This window comes from Homo sapiens, chromosome 14 (genome assembly GCF_000001405.40).
Source record: "Homo sapiens chromosome 14, GRCh38.p14 Primary Assembly".
Taxonomy (NCBI): domain Eukaryota; kingdom Metazoa; phylum Chordata; class Mammalia; order Primates; family Hominidae; genus Homo; species Homo sapiens.
In genome coordinates, this window is record NC_000014.9 from 89,794,139 (window position 1) to 89,813,152 (window position 19,014).

Genomic DNA, 19,014 nt, shown 5'->3' on the forward strand with positions numbered 1-19,014 from the left:
GAAACCCACTGCACCACTGCTGTCTCTATGTTAGTTCTATCAGATAGCCCAGTGTTTTCCAGTACATTCTCTTGCAGTCTAAGCTAGTTTGGGTGGTTTTCCGTCACTGAGACAAAAAAGAGCCTTGACTAGTCCAGGGTCAAGGGAGTTGCCCAACAGCTATCCCCAACTTGGCCTCTTGCCTGCCGCATCAACTGTAGGAAATGACCCCTCCCTTTCCCTTGTCATGTTTCCTGGGAGAAATGAGGTCCGAATAGTGACTGCAATAGGAGGTTATGGCTTTCTGGAAATTCTGAATAATGCCACTTTGTTCATGTATTACTCCAATTTTGATATTTTAAAAAATCTGAAGTATGCATCATTTATGTTCTGAGATCAGGAATCAACAACTCAATTATTCAACTTATGATGAAAATACTTGCTGAACAAAACTCTACCCAAAATCAGAAAGGAACAATTCATCAACTTTTCATCAACTGGAACAATTCGTACATAAACACAAAAGCTACTCAATGATACCATTGATCCGCTTTGTATTTGAAATAAGATTTTATTTTTACTTGATTTTCAATGTTTTCTTCATTTTAGATAAAGTTTAGTTTAACAGGTTTTGAATAAGACTTTATTTTTTAAATGAATTTTTAATTTTAGAATAGTTTTAGATTTATAGAAAAATTGTGAAAATAGTAGAGGGTTCCCATATACCTCACCCAGTTTCCCCTACTATTAACATTATATATGAGTAGGATACATTTGTTACAATTAATGAACCAATAGTGATACATTATTATTAGCTAAAGTCCATGCTTGATTTGTTTCTACTTAATGTCTTTTTTTTTTTTTTTTTTTTTTTTTTTGAGAGGGAGTCTCGCTCTGTTGCCCAGACTGGAGTGCAGTGGCACCATTTCAGCTCACTGCAAGCTCTGCCTCCCAGGTTCATGCTATTCTCCTGCCTCAGCCTCCCGAGCAGCTGGGACTACAGGCACCTGCCACCACGCCCAGCTAATCTTTTTTTGTTTTTTGTATTTTTAGTAGAGACGGGGTTTCACCGTGTTAGCCAGGATGGTCTCGATCTCCCGACCTCGTGATCCACCCGCCTCGGCCTCCCGAAGTGCTGGGATTACAGGCTGAGTCACTGTGTCCGGCCAATGTTTATTTTTTATTCCGTGATCTCATCCAGGATACCAAATGACATTTAGTTGTCACATCTTGTTAGGCTCCTCTTATTTGACAGTTTAAAACTTTATTTTTATTGGCCAGGCATGGTGGCTCACGCCTGTAATCCCAGCACTTTGGGAGGCCGAGGCAGACGGATCACTTGAGGTCAGGAGTTCAAGACCAGCCTGGCCAACATGGTGAAACCCCTTCTCTACTAAAAATTAGCCGGGTGTGGCGGTACACACCTGTAAACCCAGATACTCAGGAGGCTAAGGCAGGAGAATCACTTGATCCCAGGAGGCGGAAGTTGCAGTGAGCCGAGATCGCGCACTGTACTCCAGCTTAGGTGACAAAGTGAGACTCTGTCTCAAAAAAAACCCGCAAACGTTTATTTTTATTAAGGTTATCTGCTAATAATTTGTATGATAATGACGCTTAATGTTTCCATATTACAAATTTACAATTTTACTTGACCTTTAAATTTTAACACTTAAAAAGTGAATTATATTAAAAGTTCTTTGACTAATGTTCATGTTATGCATTCCGTACACTTATAAATAAGAGTACTGATACCAGTATTTTGGAATTACCTTCACTAAATGCTGAGTGTCCAGCATTGCTGTTCTTGCTCCAGTATAGCAGTTACTGGAGCCCAGCAGGACAGGCAAGGCATGGGGAACGTGAACACACATGGCTAAGTGTCTGGGTGCAGGACGTGACTGCTAGAAACCAGGGGGTATGGAGCAGAGGGCAGCTGAGCAGCTCAAGGCTTGCTTCTCCACAGTGAGACTCCCAAGCCTAGACCATCCTAAAGGGTTCTGCAAACATGTCTCTTGCCCCCAGTACCCTCATCACCCTGTTCTTCCTCTGTATATAGCCCGAGAGGGCTTGCTCATGTTAGCCCAAGCCGATTTCTTTGTCTTGCACAGACAGTGCCCTGGGACCACTTTACAGTGATGATTTGGACTCAGGGACATTATCTTAGAGAAGTCTTTATATGTTTTTTTTTAATTGAAAGTGTTTTTTTAGAGACAGGGTCTTGCTCTATCATCCAGGCTGGAGTGCGACAGTGCAATCATGGCTCACTGAAGCTTCAAACCCCTGGGCTCAAATGATCCTTCCACCTCAGCCTCCCAAGTAGCTGGGACTACAGGTACACACCACTAAATCCAGATAATTTTTTATTATTAATTTTTTGGTAGGGATGGGGTCTCGGTATGTTGCCCAGGCTAGTCTCCAATTCCTAGGCTCAAGTGATCCTCCTGCTTTGGCCTCCCAAAGTGCTGGGATTGTAGGCATGAGCCTATCTTAGAGAAGTCTTAAGCCTATGCTTCCCAAGGCCTGGCTGATTGCTTGGAACATAGTAAGTATTCTGTATGTGTAGGTGCTATTATTTGTTCAACCAATGTTGAGCAAATGAAGGAAACTGGCACCATTGGCAGGAAAAGTCTGCCCCTCTGCAGATATTAGGAGATGATGAGATTCAGGGTGGGATGGTGAGGACAATGAAGTGAGTGAGTAGAGCACCGTGGCCTGCAGTGTGGAGAGGGTAGGGGGCAAGAAGAGTGAGGAGGAGGAGGACCACCAGTGCCATCCCTAGCCCCAGCTCTAGCAATGGCGGCCTGACTCAGGGCTGCTGGCCACACAGAAGGAGACCCCCGGCAGCAACCATCTCTAGGATTCTGAGATGCAAGTCTATCATCAGCATCCAAAAATTATGATTAAAAATTTAGTCAATTACTTATTGCATGCCTGTGCCAAAATATCTCCCGTAACCCATATATGTGTGTGTATGTATACATATGCACCTACTATGTACCCACAAAAATTAAAAATTTTTAAATGTTTAATCACAAGTCTGTAGCATGACATCATTAGTAGAGTCGAGTCTGCTGACATTACAATCTATTGATCTCCCCAGAGTTACCAAAAGTAGTTCACAATAGTTAGGCTTCCTTCTGTCCATAGTTCAGGGCATATTCAAAGTCTCTAAAGCTGACGTGACCATCTGAATCTCGATCTACTTCCCTGGAAAATGAAACAAAAAGTCATTTACACATTATTCTCGTTAACACCTATGCACCGAGAGCACATTAGAATCTTTATTTATTTGCATGTCTGTGTGAGAGAGGAACCTATTTTATCTACTTGAAGGCTGAGATTGATGCCTGTTTTTTCATTGATAATAAAGGTTTGCAGGAAAGAAAGGGTATTTATTAAAACTTACAGAAATAATATATTCCACATATTTAAAGAGATGAAGCCAAATACACAGATTATATAAGAAAAAAAGAAACGGCTCTTTCTAATTATCTTACACATGTCTTTCTGTGATATGTCAAAAACATATGCAGGCCAGATGCAGTGGCTCACACCTGTAATCCCAGCACTTTGGGAGGCCAAGGTGGGTGGATCACCTGAGGTCAGGAGTTCTAGACCAGCCAGGCCAACATGGTGAAACCTTGTCTCTACTAAAAATACAAAAAATTAGCCAGGCATGGTGGTGGGCCCCTGTAATCCCAGCTACTTGGGAGGCTGAGGCAGGAGAATCACTTGAACCCAGGAGGCAGAGGTTGCAGTGAGCCGAGATCACGCCACTGCACTCCAGCCTGGGTGACAGAGCAAGACTCCATCTCAATTAAGAAAAAAAAAAGTGTGTTTGAAAGCATAACTGGTGAGTAGTGGTCCCAACTCCTCTTTGGGGGCATTCTAAAACAATGCCTTACAAGTAGCTTCTGCAGTTGATGCCAATTATATTTTGTTCAAACATCAAATTCGTATCAACCATGACATAGGACTTTTTAAAGCAAAGACTGGCCCAAGCAAGAGAGCCACTAATCACTGTAATAGTTTTAAAGCAGGCTTTTAAAATATTGAATTCTAAAATAAACTTTCTGAATATTTCATGCCAAAGTCTCTGAAGTCTATAATGGTTCTGGATAGAGTGATGATAATTTTTCATTCTTTTGAAGTAGAGAAAAATCCCTACTTCTCTGCCCCAGGGCAAAACCATGTTGCAGTGTGTTCATATAAAATGATTGCAGACTGCAGAGGCCATTATTCTTGTTACTTCTTTTGGTAAAATATACATGATGATTTCATGCTACACAGGACCAAAAGCATAGTGTCAGATCTCTTCTAAGGGATTAGAAATAATCAGTATCACGTTACTAACTACAGAATATAAATCATCCCTTTTATTAAATTAGATAATTGAGGATTCTTAATATTGCCTAAGTATTTTTTCCCAAGGAATTGGATTAGATAAACGGCCTTTTTTCTTTCCACTCTGAACTGGTATGGTTGAACTATAAATCTCAGAGGGTGAGTTAAGTGAATAACCTAGAAAAATAATGTTTAGAATAAACTGCTTCTGATAATATTTTGTGTGTGTGCGAGTGTGCTTATTCACTTATTGAGATGCTGAATGCTTGTAGAGAAGCAAATCCCTTTGCCTGACTTTCTCAGTAAACGACCTCATTGTTATTGTATTAACTTTTTGTTTTTTGAGATGGAGTCTCACTCTGTCACCCAGGCTGGAGTGCAGCAGTGTGATCTTGGCTCACTGCGACCTCCGCCTCTCCGGCTCAAGCAATCTTCCCACCTCAGCCTCCTGAGTAGCTAAGACTACAGGCACCCAGTACCACGCCTGGCTAATTTTTGTATTTTTTTGGTAAAGATGGGGTTTCACTATGTTGGCGAGGCTGGTCTCGAACTCCTGAGCTCAAGCCATCCCCCTGCCTCGGCCTCCCAAAGTGCTGGGATTATAGGCATGAGCCATTGTACCCCGCCTGTTATTGTATTAACTCCTAATTTTTCTTGCTGCCTTTGCTAGAGCTTTCCATCATAAAATGAGTATAGTAAAACCAAGCACTGTTAAAACTGGAAAGTTTATTCATAACGTGTGGGGTGGCATTTTATTCACATAATGAATGGCAGGGCATCATCATTTTAAATTCATATTTCAAATGAGACATGCTGAAATACTTAATGTCTTCTGACTTTTCGTCGTCATCGCATATATACAAGCAGGTCTGGTCATCTCACGGAGAGTGCAGAGGAAATTCAAGTTCAGAGCTATCATTTTAAAAGCTAACAAATACTGTTTTTCATTGCAGACAGAATTATTCTGAAGAAGGAAGGTCTCATAGCACCCACACTCAAATCACTGTGACAGAGAAGATGTACCGTGGGTAGAATTAGTGACTGGCTGAGGAGAGGAAGGAAATGTCATCAGGTTAAAAAGCCCTCTTGTTTCTGTTACAGCATTCAACCCTAACGTGAGTTTGCTCTAGTTTTGAAACTAGAATGCATTGTTTTGGTGTCATCAACAAACCCTCAGCACTAAAAAATTCAGCACCTCCCACCCCCCAACCCTGACTCGAAAGAAACTTTAGGAGGGCAAGACCTTTGTCTTCTTTGCTGCTGTGGCCCCACTTCTTGCCCCACAGCAGAGGATGAATGTCGAATGAATGAATTTGTGGAACAAATGAATCTGAGGAAACAGCTGATAATATTATAGAAAATCTATTACCTCCCAGGAGGTACTAGGGAATTAAAGAAAGAAACTATCACCTCATTGTTTTACCGAGTCTAAAAACGCTTGTGGCTGGGCGTGGTGGCTCATGCTTGTAATCCCAGCACTTTGGGAGGCCCAGGCGGGTGGATCACCTGAGGTCAGGAGTTCGAGACTAGCCTGGCCAATGTGGTGAAACCCAATCTCTACTAAAAATACAATAATTAGCCAGGCATGGTGGCAGGTGCCTGTAATCCCAGCTACTTGGGAGGCTGAGGCAGAAGAATTGCTTGAACCCGGGAGGCAGAGGTTGCAGTGAGCCAAGATCGGGCCACTGCACTCCAGCCTGGGCGAAAAGAGCAAAACTCAATCTCGTAAACAAACAAACAAACAAACAAACAAACAAACAAACGCACGCCTGAGAAACACCTTAGACCCATCATTCAGGGACCCGTAAGTAAGTCGATTACAGTTTCCATGCTCAACCACATTTTGCAAAACATAGACTAGGTACAGAGGAGACCACATGAGAGACAAGCTGTGGAAAATGAGGCTCAAAACATGGGGCAGTGGAGCGAGGGAACCCCCTGAATGTCAGGCTGAACAATTTAGAGTTAAGAAGCAGGAAATTGTGAACCAATGCAGAACACTGGGTACACATGGTCTAACCCATAGTCAAAGACCACCCACTTCAATCCAGTTAAGCAGCTCCCCTTTTACCAGACACAGGGACGTAGGTATAGACACATATACAGACTATCTCAGAAATGGCTTTTCAAAGGAATTAAAGTTTATGCAGATGTAAAAGAGGATAATTAACTAACAACAACTGCTTCTAGAAATGTAGGCCCAATGAAATTAAAGGCTTTTTTGGTGTGTTTGTTTTTGAGATGCAAAAGGGAGACCTGGAATTGATTTTGGGAGTAGAGACTCAAGAGAGCAGAACTGGGCTGGGTGTGGTGGCTCACACCTGTAATCCCAGCACTTTGGGAAGCTGAGGTGGGTGGATCACTTGAGGTCAGGAGTTCGAGACCAGCCTGGCCAACATGGTGAAACCCCATCTCTATTAAAAAGGCAAAAATTAGACAGGCGTGGTGGCATGTGCCTGTAATCCCAGCTACTCGGGAGGCTGAGGCAGGAGAATCACTTGAGCCTGGGAGACGGAGGCTGCAGTGAGCTGAGTTCACACTCCAGCCTGGGTGACAGAGCCAGATCCCACCTCAAAAAAGAAAAAAAAAAAAAAAAAAAGAAGTACTGCTCTGTATTACTTGGTATGAACAATTTAGGGCCATCTGGGAGGAAGGAGATGACAAGCCAAGACAAGAGAGGGTACAGGCACAGGGAGATGCCATATAAGAACAGTCATGAAATTCCCCAATGATGCGATGATCAAAAGTCCTTCAATTGACTGTTACGTTTCCTATGTACTTCCAAACTGTTTGTATTACCTGTTCTAACCTCTCCCCTATCTTCACCAAGGGAGTGCCAGGCACACACACACTGTGGGGGATGGTGACTTTGGGGTGTCAGTGTTGAGTCAGGGGCTGAAGATTGAGTCAGGAGATGAGCTCTGTCTGAACGTGCAGCAGAGAGCAGGAAAAGCAAGAAGGGAAAGGCAGGATGATCCATCCACTGAATTCTCTCAGAGAAATGAGAACTCAGAGCCATAAGCCTGCTAGGAATTTGCAAGAATCTTGGGAAGTGCTTCATAATCCCCCAGGTGTAGAATGGAGGTTCCAGGCAATACTCTATGGACTTCAAAGTACAGGAAGACCTCAGATGACACAGGATACATTCCAAATTTGCAGAACTGGACTCAGTCCATTCAGTTGAATTCCAACAGTTTTCAAATTTGTAAAAGTAAAAATATTTTGATTCATTGTATTAAAAAGTGGTTATAGGCCAGGCGCAGTGGTGCACACTGTAATCCCAGCATTTTGGGAGGCCGCGGCAGGTGGATCACTGGAGGTCAGGAGTTCAAGACCAGCCTGGGCAACATGGTGAAACCCCGTCTCTACTAAAAATACAAAAATTAGCCGGGCATGGTGACGCACACCTATAATCCCAGCTACTGGGGAGGCTGAGGCAGAAGAACTGGTTGAAGCCAGGAGCTGGAGGTTGCAGTGAGCTGAGATCGCACTACTGCACTCCAGCCCAGGCGATAGTGCGAGACTCTGTCTCAAAAAAAAAAAAAATGTAAATAGTCAATGTTTCTCACAAGGAGTAAATGTTTCTTGTATGAAAATGTTGACATCATAACAATTTCTTAGAATGTTCTGAAAGTGGTTATTTCTTGGAAAATCATTTTTCTTGTAAAATTATTCAGGAGTACCCCATGTCTAAGTCTCCAAAGCCAGGCTTCAGACTAGAGTACTTGCTTTTACCCAAGTTACTTAAAAAAAAAAAAAAAAAGAAAGAAAAAGGAAATGGTTTAAATTTTACTACATTGAAACGATGGAATCTTTTCTATTAAAATGACATAAAGACTATGAAAGTGATATTTTTAAGTGGGAGCAAGAATACAGAATGGTATCGCATCATCATTGCAATGTTTTCGTTTTTTAATTTTAATTTTAATTAATTAATTAATTTATTTAGAGACAGAGTCTTGCTCTGTCACTCAGGCTGGAGTGCAATGGTATGATCTTGGCTCACTGCAACCTCTGCCTCCCAGAATCAAGTGATTCTCCTGCCTCAGCCTCCCGAGTAGCTGGGATTACAGGCATGCGCCACCAAGTCCGGCTAATTTTTTGTAGTTTTAGTAGAGATGGGGTTTCGCCATGCTGACCAGGCTGGTCTCAAACTCCTCACCTCAAATGATCCTCCTGCCTTGGCCTCCCATAGTGCTGGGATTATAGGCGTGAGCCACTGCGGTCGGACCCATAATTGCAATTTTATAAACATTTATATTCTTTTGGGCAGAAGCTGAAGGTTATATGCTACGCAGAAACTTGTCTTATGAAGATGGTAGGGTTTTGGGTAATTCTGTCTTAAGATATTCCTTAATATTACTTATATCTTTTTCAACTGAAAAAATATTTTCTTTCAATTTAGTCTGAATTTTCCAAACAATTGGCCTTATTTCAAATTGTATAAATCCACAACAGCTAGCGCTGGGCTTCTCAACATCAGCACGATTGATATTTTGGACCAGACAATGCTCTGATATAGCAGAGAGGGGGCTGTCCTGGGCATTGCAGGACGTTTGGCAGCATCCCTGGCCTCCACCTGCTAGATGTTGGTAGGACCCTCTCCCACCCCTCATGCCCAATCGTGACAGCCAAAAATGTCTCCAGAAATTGCCAAGTGTCCCTTGGGGGACACAATCACCCCAGTTGACAACCATTGAGCCAGAGGAATCACAGTTTAAGGCAATCCTTTTGAACATTCCAGCTAAATCTACACTTACTAATATAATTGCTTTAAAGACTTTTTCTTTAAAAAGAAAATGATTTCAGGGTCAGCTGAGGCACATGTTTCTCAGATCATGCAGATGATTGTCCCAACACTCTAAGGTTTTGAAATGAGCCCAGAGAAGACCCCACTGGAGAGGCAAACTCTTGCTGGTGGTAATAGGGCGTGTGCCAGACATATCTGTGTTCCCAACAAACGCACTGACAGATAGTAATTATTTTGAGTCACTGTGATAATCACATGAGATTTTGAAAGTTGATGCCATATTTGATGCACCTGAAATGTGAATGAGAAATTTAATGTGGAGGCCAAGATTTAAGTGAGAAAAGTTTTCTTAGTGGAATTTTTGGGGTGGGGGAAAAGGGAGAGAGCAGCTTTTTCTCTTTGATTCTTTATGGAATAATTTAAACCAAAGTCAAAACTGCCACTACATTAGGGACAAAGCTGTCATACTGACTGAACAGTGAAAGTAAAAATTACCCTCCAAGCAAGGAGCCCCTGCTGGGGATGAGAAGACCCGCCAATTGAAGATGTAATGATGACAGCCTCTCCCGCAAGCAGCCTTCTCTTCTGAGGAGCCCGCTGCTTCTTCCCACTGGCGTGCTTGCCTCTTTGTTGATGAGAGTCCTGCAGGGCTCTACAGCAATTCAGCTGGTAATGTGTTTATTAATTTTACCTTTTTAAAGACATGTGTTAAGAAAAGCCATTCGGATATACAGGAAAGACTAAAGAGATATGCAGATGATTTCTGGTCTTTTCTAGGCTCCAACATGACTTTGGCAGATGTGCTGCATTCTCTTCGGTGTGTACTGGGGTCCCTTTGTGCCCGTCCCACGCTATGCAACCTCCTTTGACTCCAGCCATTGCTGGGAAAGCCTCACCCGAGCCAGTAGCAGTATCTTTTGCTGTTTGGGACTGCTCTGACACCTGGGGTGGCACCCCCTACCCCCCAAACGTGGAAGCATGAAAAGGAGTGTTAAGGCCTTCTTCATGCACAGAGCAGGTAGAACCCCTTGACCAGTTTACACTCCAGCTCACTCTGCTGTTCTCTCTTTCCTTCATTTTGCACGGCTCCAGTCTCAGGCTGGTAATTAACGCTTAAAAGCCTGTGCACGAATTATTGAATCAATGTACCAAAGGAGCACAGGACTGTTGTGAAGACTGCATCCTTATGGCAGGAAAATACCAAGCTTTACGTAGACAACTCTGAGGTCATTCTCTTGGCTCATCAGAGGTTCTGGTGGGATCAAGCTCCAATCGCTCATAGTAGTAATGAGCTTGGTGACAGACACTTGCATTCCCTCATTCTCTGTTTCACAACAACCTGTACACAAGCCCCCATCAGGCTCTGCTTTCAAGAAGAACCCAGGTTAAGACACAATGGAAAGTTTATTTTGAGAGATGAAACTTCACACAGAGCATTTAAATTGCCATCAGCAATAGCACGTCATATCAGATTCTCACTCAAGTAAAAGAGATCTCACTACTTCAAAGAGATCAGACTATTCCTCTACTTGCAAAATGCTTTTTTTGGGAGGAAATTAAATATTGCCTTTAAGAAGAGCTCTGAAGTTTGAAGTTCCAAGCAATTAAAATGCCAGGGTTAACCAGAAAAAAAACACTGCAGCAGTCTTCTTTTTACTGTCTAATATACATGTCTTATTAATAATATTTAGTCCATTAATAGTAAATAGTATTATTGGACTTTAAGTGCTCCTTCAGAGTGAGGACAAGGTATCCCTGAATATAAGATTCTTACAGGGTCCTTTTGGATGCAGAGGTATAGTTATCATCTGACCATAAGCAAGTGGTGGACCTGGCTGTTTAGGATGAACTGTGAAGGGTAAGAGAATGTCCAGATCAGGCCAGGAATAAAGAACGACATAAGCCAGGCAAAACAGTGGCCTCATTAGCACTCGGCTCAGCCTACTAGCCTAACAATTCCATGGACATTGTTTGCGTCTTCCCCAACTTCCATCTTACCTGCTCTGTGCCATGTAGCAGCTGTGTGATTGTGGGGGAACAGACCCCCACCCCAAGCTCTAGAAGTGGGAGCTCACTGGCCTTAACCAATGACTGTAATCCCACTCTCCTTACCACAGTGACTGGCTCAAGGATTGACTGGCTTAAGCCAGTTAACACATGTCATTCCTCCCCTGGCTACTACTGGTTGGTAAAGAATTGGTACAAACATAATGAAGTCTAGGAATTTTGCTTGCAAGTTGAGAAGCTCTTTCAATGTGGACATCTGAGATGCAGAGGTGAGGCTTGCTATTCCAACAGCCTTTTCCTACCATAAGGGTGCAATTTCCACAACAGTTCTATGCTCCAATGGTACATTGATTCGATAATTTGTGCACAGGCTTTTAAGTGTTAATTACCAGCTTGAGACTGGAGCTATATACAATGAGGGAAAGAGTCAGAGAACAGCACAGTGAGCTGGAGCCTAAACAAACCATGCCTGAAGCCTCCCCTATGTCAAGACTCTTAGTCACTGACCCAATAAATTCCCTGTGTTGTTTAAGGCAGTCTGAAATGGATTTTCTGCTACTTGGAAATGAAAGCATCCTGACATACAAAGGATTCTGTCTGAAATCTTTTCCAAACCTTGCAGTATTTGGAACTTGATGGACAGACAGCAGATACTCAATGAACATAGTATTTTTGAAATGATTATTCCATTTTAAAGAAACCATAAATAATTTAGATTTCTCCTCGGATGCTAGCTCAAGATTCTGGATTATTCTCCTCAGCTCTGCAATCTAAAGAGTAACTTGCTTGCTGTATCCAACAGAAAGTTCTGTTTATGGTGCCTTGTGATTCTTAATGCACTGAAGAGGCTATTGAGGGAACTAATATATATTTTCCCTAACAAGTGACGGAATAAATTCTCCAGTCCAAGAAAAAAGGAAAAATGGATGTAAAATACAGTCACAGCTTACCAAAGTGACTAACCATAAATAATGACTCACTTTTTCCTATTTACTAAATTTTAAGAATGAGGAATCTCATTGACAGCTAGACATATTTTAAAAGGAAGAAAATATAATTTCAGTATGTCATTTCGGATTATTGACTACTTGTAGACATGTGGATAAATGCAATCAACATATAGCCCAAGGCCCTGGGCTATATTTCCAGGAAATAATTTGATATTCCTTCTCTATCAAGTGCTTTAACAGAGCTGCTAATAAACAGGGATATGATCGTGTTTCTAACTTTGATTCTCTGGAAGAGAAATGACAATGTAAGAAAACAGCACAGATCAGACAGTTTTCAGGATAAAGTACAAAAGTCAAAGTGAACATCTTTGAACTAATCATAACAAATCTGTTTCCTACACTTCTGAGTCACTAAGATCTTCCATTCTTCCCCCCATGCCGTAAATATGCAACTACCACAGGCCCACTCTGAATATGGCAGGGAGACAGTGTGGTCCAGCAGAAACCCCCCAGGAGCGAGCTCTCTGCTCAGCTAGGCTGCTGCCAAGCCCTGGGCAAGTTTCTCAACTGCTATGACTTTGAAGCTCCTCACTTGTCAAGCTGAATGGCTAGGCTAGATGATTGCTAAGATTTGGTTCAGTTCTCAATTTTGATGAATCTAAGCCAGATCTTAGTTATACAACTAGTATCTTTGTATGCAGAAAATTGGAAAATGTAACCCAACTCCTGTTAGCCATGTTTAGCCTTTTAAAAAAAAGTAGTTTGAACCTTTGACCCCGTGGACATTTATAAGGAAACATAAGCATATATAAATATAAAGAAAAAAGATCCTACCATCAACAATATGAAATATGAATGGAGAGAAAGCCATTTCTATTTCAAATATATAATCACTTCAGCTGAGATACCCAGTATCATCTTGAACTTGATTATGAGATAAAAGAAATGGGACAGAGATGGCAATCATTTAATCTCTTAAGAACAGCTATTCTGAAGAGCTTTTCCCTCTATGCTCAATAGATTTCTAGCAGGTTATGATCTGGCTAGAAAGAAAGCATAATGATGAAGAAAATTATGTTTTCAATAACACAGGCTTTTTACAGTACAAGTCCTTCCACAAAGGAGGCAATAAAATGAACTCTGACCACTTTAACAGATGGCATAATGGCTCAGTGCACAGATGTGGCCTCTCTGAAAGCAACAAGTTCATCTCCTTGACTGGAGGTTTAGGAATGAGCTGAACTTTCAAGTGTAATGTAGGAAAGATTACATATTTCCATACAAGAAAGCTGAGTATTAGTGGGTTCAGAAGCTTGGAGAGATGGACTAAAAGAATAAGGCTTAATGAGTTTCATTTTGCTAATGCAACAAATAGAGTTGAAGTTGAAATGTGAACTATAAATATCAAGCCATTTGTAAATGCCCTCCTAATTACATTGTTAGCCATTGTTTAGACGGAAGCTTGCCTTTTAAAAAGCATACTTCCTCAGAGTCAGAAAATACCAGTTGTCAAATAATGCTTATTTTAATAGTATAATATTTTGAGTGGGATATATTTTTAATAATACATGATAGAAGGACTGTAGAGTTTTTTGTTTACTTTCTTTGGGAAATTTGATAAATCAAAAGTTTATCTGGGAAAATAAATATGCCATAAAATTCAAAATATTTTTAAAAACAATGTTATCAAAACAAAAGATAAATCCTCAATTCGGTAATTAAAAGAGTATGATTATTACTCAGGAATCAATAAGAATAATGTCCAGAAATATGTATATATAGGAATTCTGCAAAAATCAAATGAGGCAATTCAAACGAGTGGGGATGGAATAGGTTGGCAGGAAAAGAAGCCGGGATAATTGGCTATCCATCTGGGGATGGGTGGAGTTTGACTCCATGGTAGAGCCTGCTTTGTGTTCAACAAAATTTACTTCCCTCTCTTCCGGGGAACACAGCTAGACTACATTTCCCAGCCTCCCTTGCAATGAGATGCAACCGGGAGTCCTGGCAATGAATGTTAATAATATAATGATATAGGAACGAAGACTAGCCATTGCTCCATCTAATTAAAAGCGTAATATTTCTAAGGCCTGTATAGGACCTTATAATCACCCTAGGGGCTGTGACATGGCCAGATCCTGAAGGATATTCTCATACAGTGTTAGCAAATACTCACCAGTAAGTGAGTAATTTACTGTATAGATCTTGGTTATAGAAAAATTACTTTAAAATTCTGTGAAGATAGATTTTTTTTTCCATTAAATGAGAGTGCAGGAACTTATATAAAAATTAAGATTTGCTTTTAACAGCTTGTACTTTAATTTTCAATAATCCATTTGGGAAAATAAGATTTTACATCTCAGCCCATTTCTCATTGATGCGATGTGCATCACTGAGCCACTAGGAAATTTGGCCTTAGTTCAGCATGACTATAATAAATTATTTATGTTTTCATTTACAACATGCTCCTAGCATTTAAAACCTCTGGGTCTGTGGACAATAATACATGACATAAAAAATGAATAACATTTGATAATGAAACAATTCCCTCAAATTATCAAAAACACTCTATTAATGGAGTCCACTCACAATAAAAAAGTCACACCAAATGGAATGACCAAAAGGGCTTTTAACAAGAGAATTTCAGTCTAAAGAGATAAAGGTTCAGAGGGCCATATACAAGCATTTAGAAAATTATGAAATGCATGAGGAGTGTGAATATGGGCAAATCAATCAAATCCTAGGATTAAAACTCAGGGACTCCAAGTGAAAGTTCAGAGGGGACATTTGAGGACTCAAACCTGGAAGTGCTTCTTCAGCTAACAGTTAGAATTTGTTTTCTATCCCTGCATTAATTCTCAAAGTTGGTATGGAGATGGGAGAAGAAAAAGGAACATACCGTGAGGGAGGTCTTACAAATTGCATATGACATCCTCATTCCCCGACCCTGTCCACCTCTCTCCCTCTGCCCAGCACTAAGCATTACTCCCAAGACAGGTGACCGTTGTGCTGAAACTGGTGTGCCATTTGCCTTAGTGAGTTGGGGAGGCAAAGAGTCCTCAGAGGTTTCAGGCCAGGAACAGACACTGGCCACGAGGGATTTCAATAATGCGTAAATCACTAAGGGACATTAGGATGTTGGGGAGCTCTCCCTACCCTTGGGAAGAAACTGCTCTCCCATAAATTGCCACACTAATACCAATTTCAGGGATTCAAATTACTGGCCCAATCCAGCAAGACATTTTCTGCCCATTATCTAGTTTCTCCTGCCTCCAGGCAGGGCCACATCATTGATTACGGAGCATTTCAGCCACTAAAAAAGATCACGCTCATCATTAAAGACATTAAGTGTTGATCTGTGCTGGCTAAGTGACTTAAAAGGTTCGTGCCCTTCTAGTAACAACTCAAAGAGGCTATTTCAGGATATTTATTAAACAAATTAAGTATTTACATTATGCTCAAGCACAGACGCACAGTCACCAAGTGCAGAAGTGTAAGAAGACAAAACTAAGTGAATTTATGTTGGAGACAACTCGGCATTTTTAGTTCTTAGAAGTGGGGGCCGGGGAACCTCCAAATGTCTGAGAAAGAGAATGAATTGGGCAGGGAAAGGGTTCTACCTCCCTCCCCCCGTCAATGGCGTCCCAATGACCACCTCTTTAAAAGAGGATAAACAGTGATTAAAGACTGCAGAGACAATTTAGAAAATCTCCTTCAAGGCCTAAAGACTAAAGGAAACAGGTATATTAACCCTACAATTTCCCCCCACAATTTAAAATTTTAGGACCCTAATAATGATGACCCGGATTTTAGAAGTATTTTCTGTAGCCTATGGTACACACTATGGTGAAGGAACCCATGTTTTCTTGAATACAGCTGCAGCCCATGAATGCTGGACCATCAATATGACTGTGATTAGTGTTCCTCCTCACCTGCCTATGAACTTGCAGTGGGCAGAGGCCACCTATATCGTGTTCACTGTGCTGTTCCCAGTATTTGGCACAGTGTCTGGCACACAGTGGTGTTCAATAAGTATCGGCTGAACATACGAGCATGTGAGTGGGAGAGTTTGGAGACGGGAGAAAGAACTCACCACCCTATGATCTTACACCAATTGCTGTGAAAATGTTGGCACTTTTCCTTCCGTCAGCATAAGAACATTTGGATCCTGCTATTTAAATGTAAAACAGATGTTTCTCCCCATTGTTATAGTCTTTATAATTTTCATTTTTAATGGCCATATGCAATTTTATCAAATGGACTTATAATAAATTATTTTTTGTTGGACTTTGGAGCCAATCCAGTCTTTTCACTTTTATAAATGTATCACTGAACACATTGAGTAACTATGCAGAGGTGGGTGGATCACCTGAGGTCAGGAGTTTGAGACCAGCCTGGCCAACATGGTAAAACCCCATCTCTACTAAAAATACAAAAATTAGCCAGGTATGGTGGCGGGCACCTGTAATCCCAGCTACTTAGGAGGCTGAGGCAGGAGAATCACTTGAACTCGACAGGCAAAGGTTGCAGTGAGCTGAGATTGCGCCACTGCACTCCAGCCTGGGTGACAAAGTGAGACTCCGTCTCAAAAAAAAAAAAAAAAAGAAATGGATTCCTGAGTCCAGTTACTCATTCACCAGGCAAACACTAAGAGCCCACTATGGTCCACGCACAGTAGGTTCTGAAGATAAATGGGTGAGCAGAAAAGACAAGAGTCCCTTTGAGCTTTTATCCAATCCTGGGAGAGAATTCTATAAGCAAAATTAAATAATTCTATTAATACAAGCAAAATAATATTACCAGTGTACTAAGTGCCCTGAAGGAGTGACAGAAGGTTCTAGGAGAGGGTGGGACATAGGGGCGAGAACTGGGCAGCAGGTCAGGGAAGCAGGACCTGGCTGAAATCTGAGAAGCATGGAGCTAATAAGAGAGGTGCAGGTGGGGAAGAGTTCTCCAAGCAGAGGGAACAGCATGTGCAAGGTCCTTGTGGCAGGACAGAGCAAGGTACATTCAAGGAACTGAAAGAAGGCAAATGTAACCAGGCACAGAGTGAGGATGAGCATGGAGCCAAATGAGGCTCTGGGATGCATGGGCTGGAACTATTCAGGTCCTGGAAGTCTATGTAAGGACCTTGGTCGTGATGCAAAGAGCGATGGGAAGTCATCAAAGTGCTTCAAGAAGGGGGCCGATGTGCTTGATATAAATTTTGGAAGTTTATCTTTGCTTAATAACACCCCGCCCCAAAGGTATCCATGTGCTATCCCCAGCACCTGTGAATATGTTGTATTATGTGGGGAAGGAAAATTAGGGTTGCAGACAGAATTAAGGTTGCTGACTCTAACATGGGGAGATTATCCTAGGTTATCAAGGTGGGGCCAATGTAATCTTAGGGGACTTTAAAAGCAGGAGAGGGCGTACAAGAATCAGAGGAGCCAGAGAGATGTGAAGACGCTAAACTGCCAGCTTTGTTGATGGAGAAAAAGCCATGAACCAAGGAAGGCAGGGGCCTCTGGAAGCTGGAAACAGTAGACATGGCTTCTCCCCTTGAGCCTCCAGCAGGAATGTGGCCCTGCTGACACCTGGATTTTAGCCCAATGATGGCCATTTTGGATTTTGGCCTCCAGAAATGTAAGATGATAAATTTGTGTTGTTTAAAGCCACCAAGTCGGTGGCAACTTGTTATTGTGGCAATAGGAATCTAATACAAAGGAGATGATCATGAATTTAGTTTCGGATATTTAAGTTTTACAAGTCTTTGACACAAAGAACATGGACATTGGAAGTATTATTCATCTACAGCCACTCTCTTAATGAGTAATATGATCTTTATTTTACCTTTCGTGACTTCAGTGTTATCATATATAAAAAGAAAATAGATTTAAGGTTGGTTCCAGTTCTAAATCTCTGAGCTTATAAGCCTGGAAAGGAACAAATATGCTTTTCACTTAGATTTCTGTCAGAATTTGGCAATCCGTGGGGAAAAAGTGATATTAAAAATAGTGATCTAAACTAAAGGGGGAAAAGATTCCATTTTTAAAAAGTACCCAAAATATGAAATAACTAGAAATACCTTAATAAGAAATGTGTTGAATTTATATAAAGAAAACTACAGAATTCCTTCGAGACATATAAAAGGATATTTGAAAATGTGCAGGGACAAGCCACGTGTGTATTCCTGGATGGGAAGACTGAACATTGTAAAGATGCCAGATCCTTCCCAATTAATTTATAGGCTGAATGCAATTTTCATCAAAACCCCAAAGGGAGTTCTTGGAACTTCACAAAAATGATTTTACCATTCATCTGGAAAATAAACAGGCAAGAAGAGCTGAGAACAAATTTGACAACAAGAAACACCAGGTTTTAGAACATATTGTCAGAACTAGGGGCGGAAAGGTGTGTCCCTGGAGTAAGAATAAGCTGACCAAGGGAATAGGATAAATGTCCTGGAAAGGTCACCTTGTATGTAAAAGGAATCAGTACAGCACAAAGTGATAAAGGCATTATATATAAATGGGGATTACTTAACAAAGGATCATGGAAAAACTGGCTATTTAGAAACAAAAATGCTTAGATCATCACCCCATGCTATATACCAAAATAAGTTCCAAATTCGTTAACATGTTAGATTGTCCTAAAATTCAAACCAACCAAGAATATGGAAGCAAGGAAAATTTTCTTAGTACAAAAGCAATTGAAGAAATTGTGAAGGAAAAGATCAGAGATTTGAATACATGAAAACTTAAAATCTTTGCACATCAAAAATTATAATAAAAGAAAACAATAAGCTGGAAAAACAGTTGTAATAAAAATAGAAACAAGTAAATGTTTTCACTATAGAAGAGAAAATGGGCAAATGGTATGAATAGATAATTCACAGAAAAGAGAACAGAAAAGGCTAATAAACATGTAAAAATGTTCAAAGTTATTAGCAATTGGAGAAATAAAAAAATAAGATACTCTTTCCACCTATTAGATTCGTAA

General features: G+C 41.0%; 1 protein-coding gene across 3 annotated transcripts in view; it reads right to left on the bottom strand.

Moving 5' to 3' along the window:
* Positions 1-530: 530 nt before the first annotated feature.
* The window catches only part of EFCAB11 (EF-hand calcium binding domain 11), a 160,109-nt gene continuing 141,625 nt past the window's right edge, over positions 531-19,014 (bottom strand). For all 3 annotated transcript variants that reach the window (NM_001284267.2, NM_145231.4, NM_001284269.2), the window contains exon 6: positions 531-3,186. In NM_001284267.2, the coding sequence (NP_001271196.1) occupies positions 3,105-3,186 (82 nt within the window). In that variant the 3' untranslated portion in view covers positions 531-3,104. The remainder of the gene's footprint in view (positions 3,187-19,014) is intronic.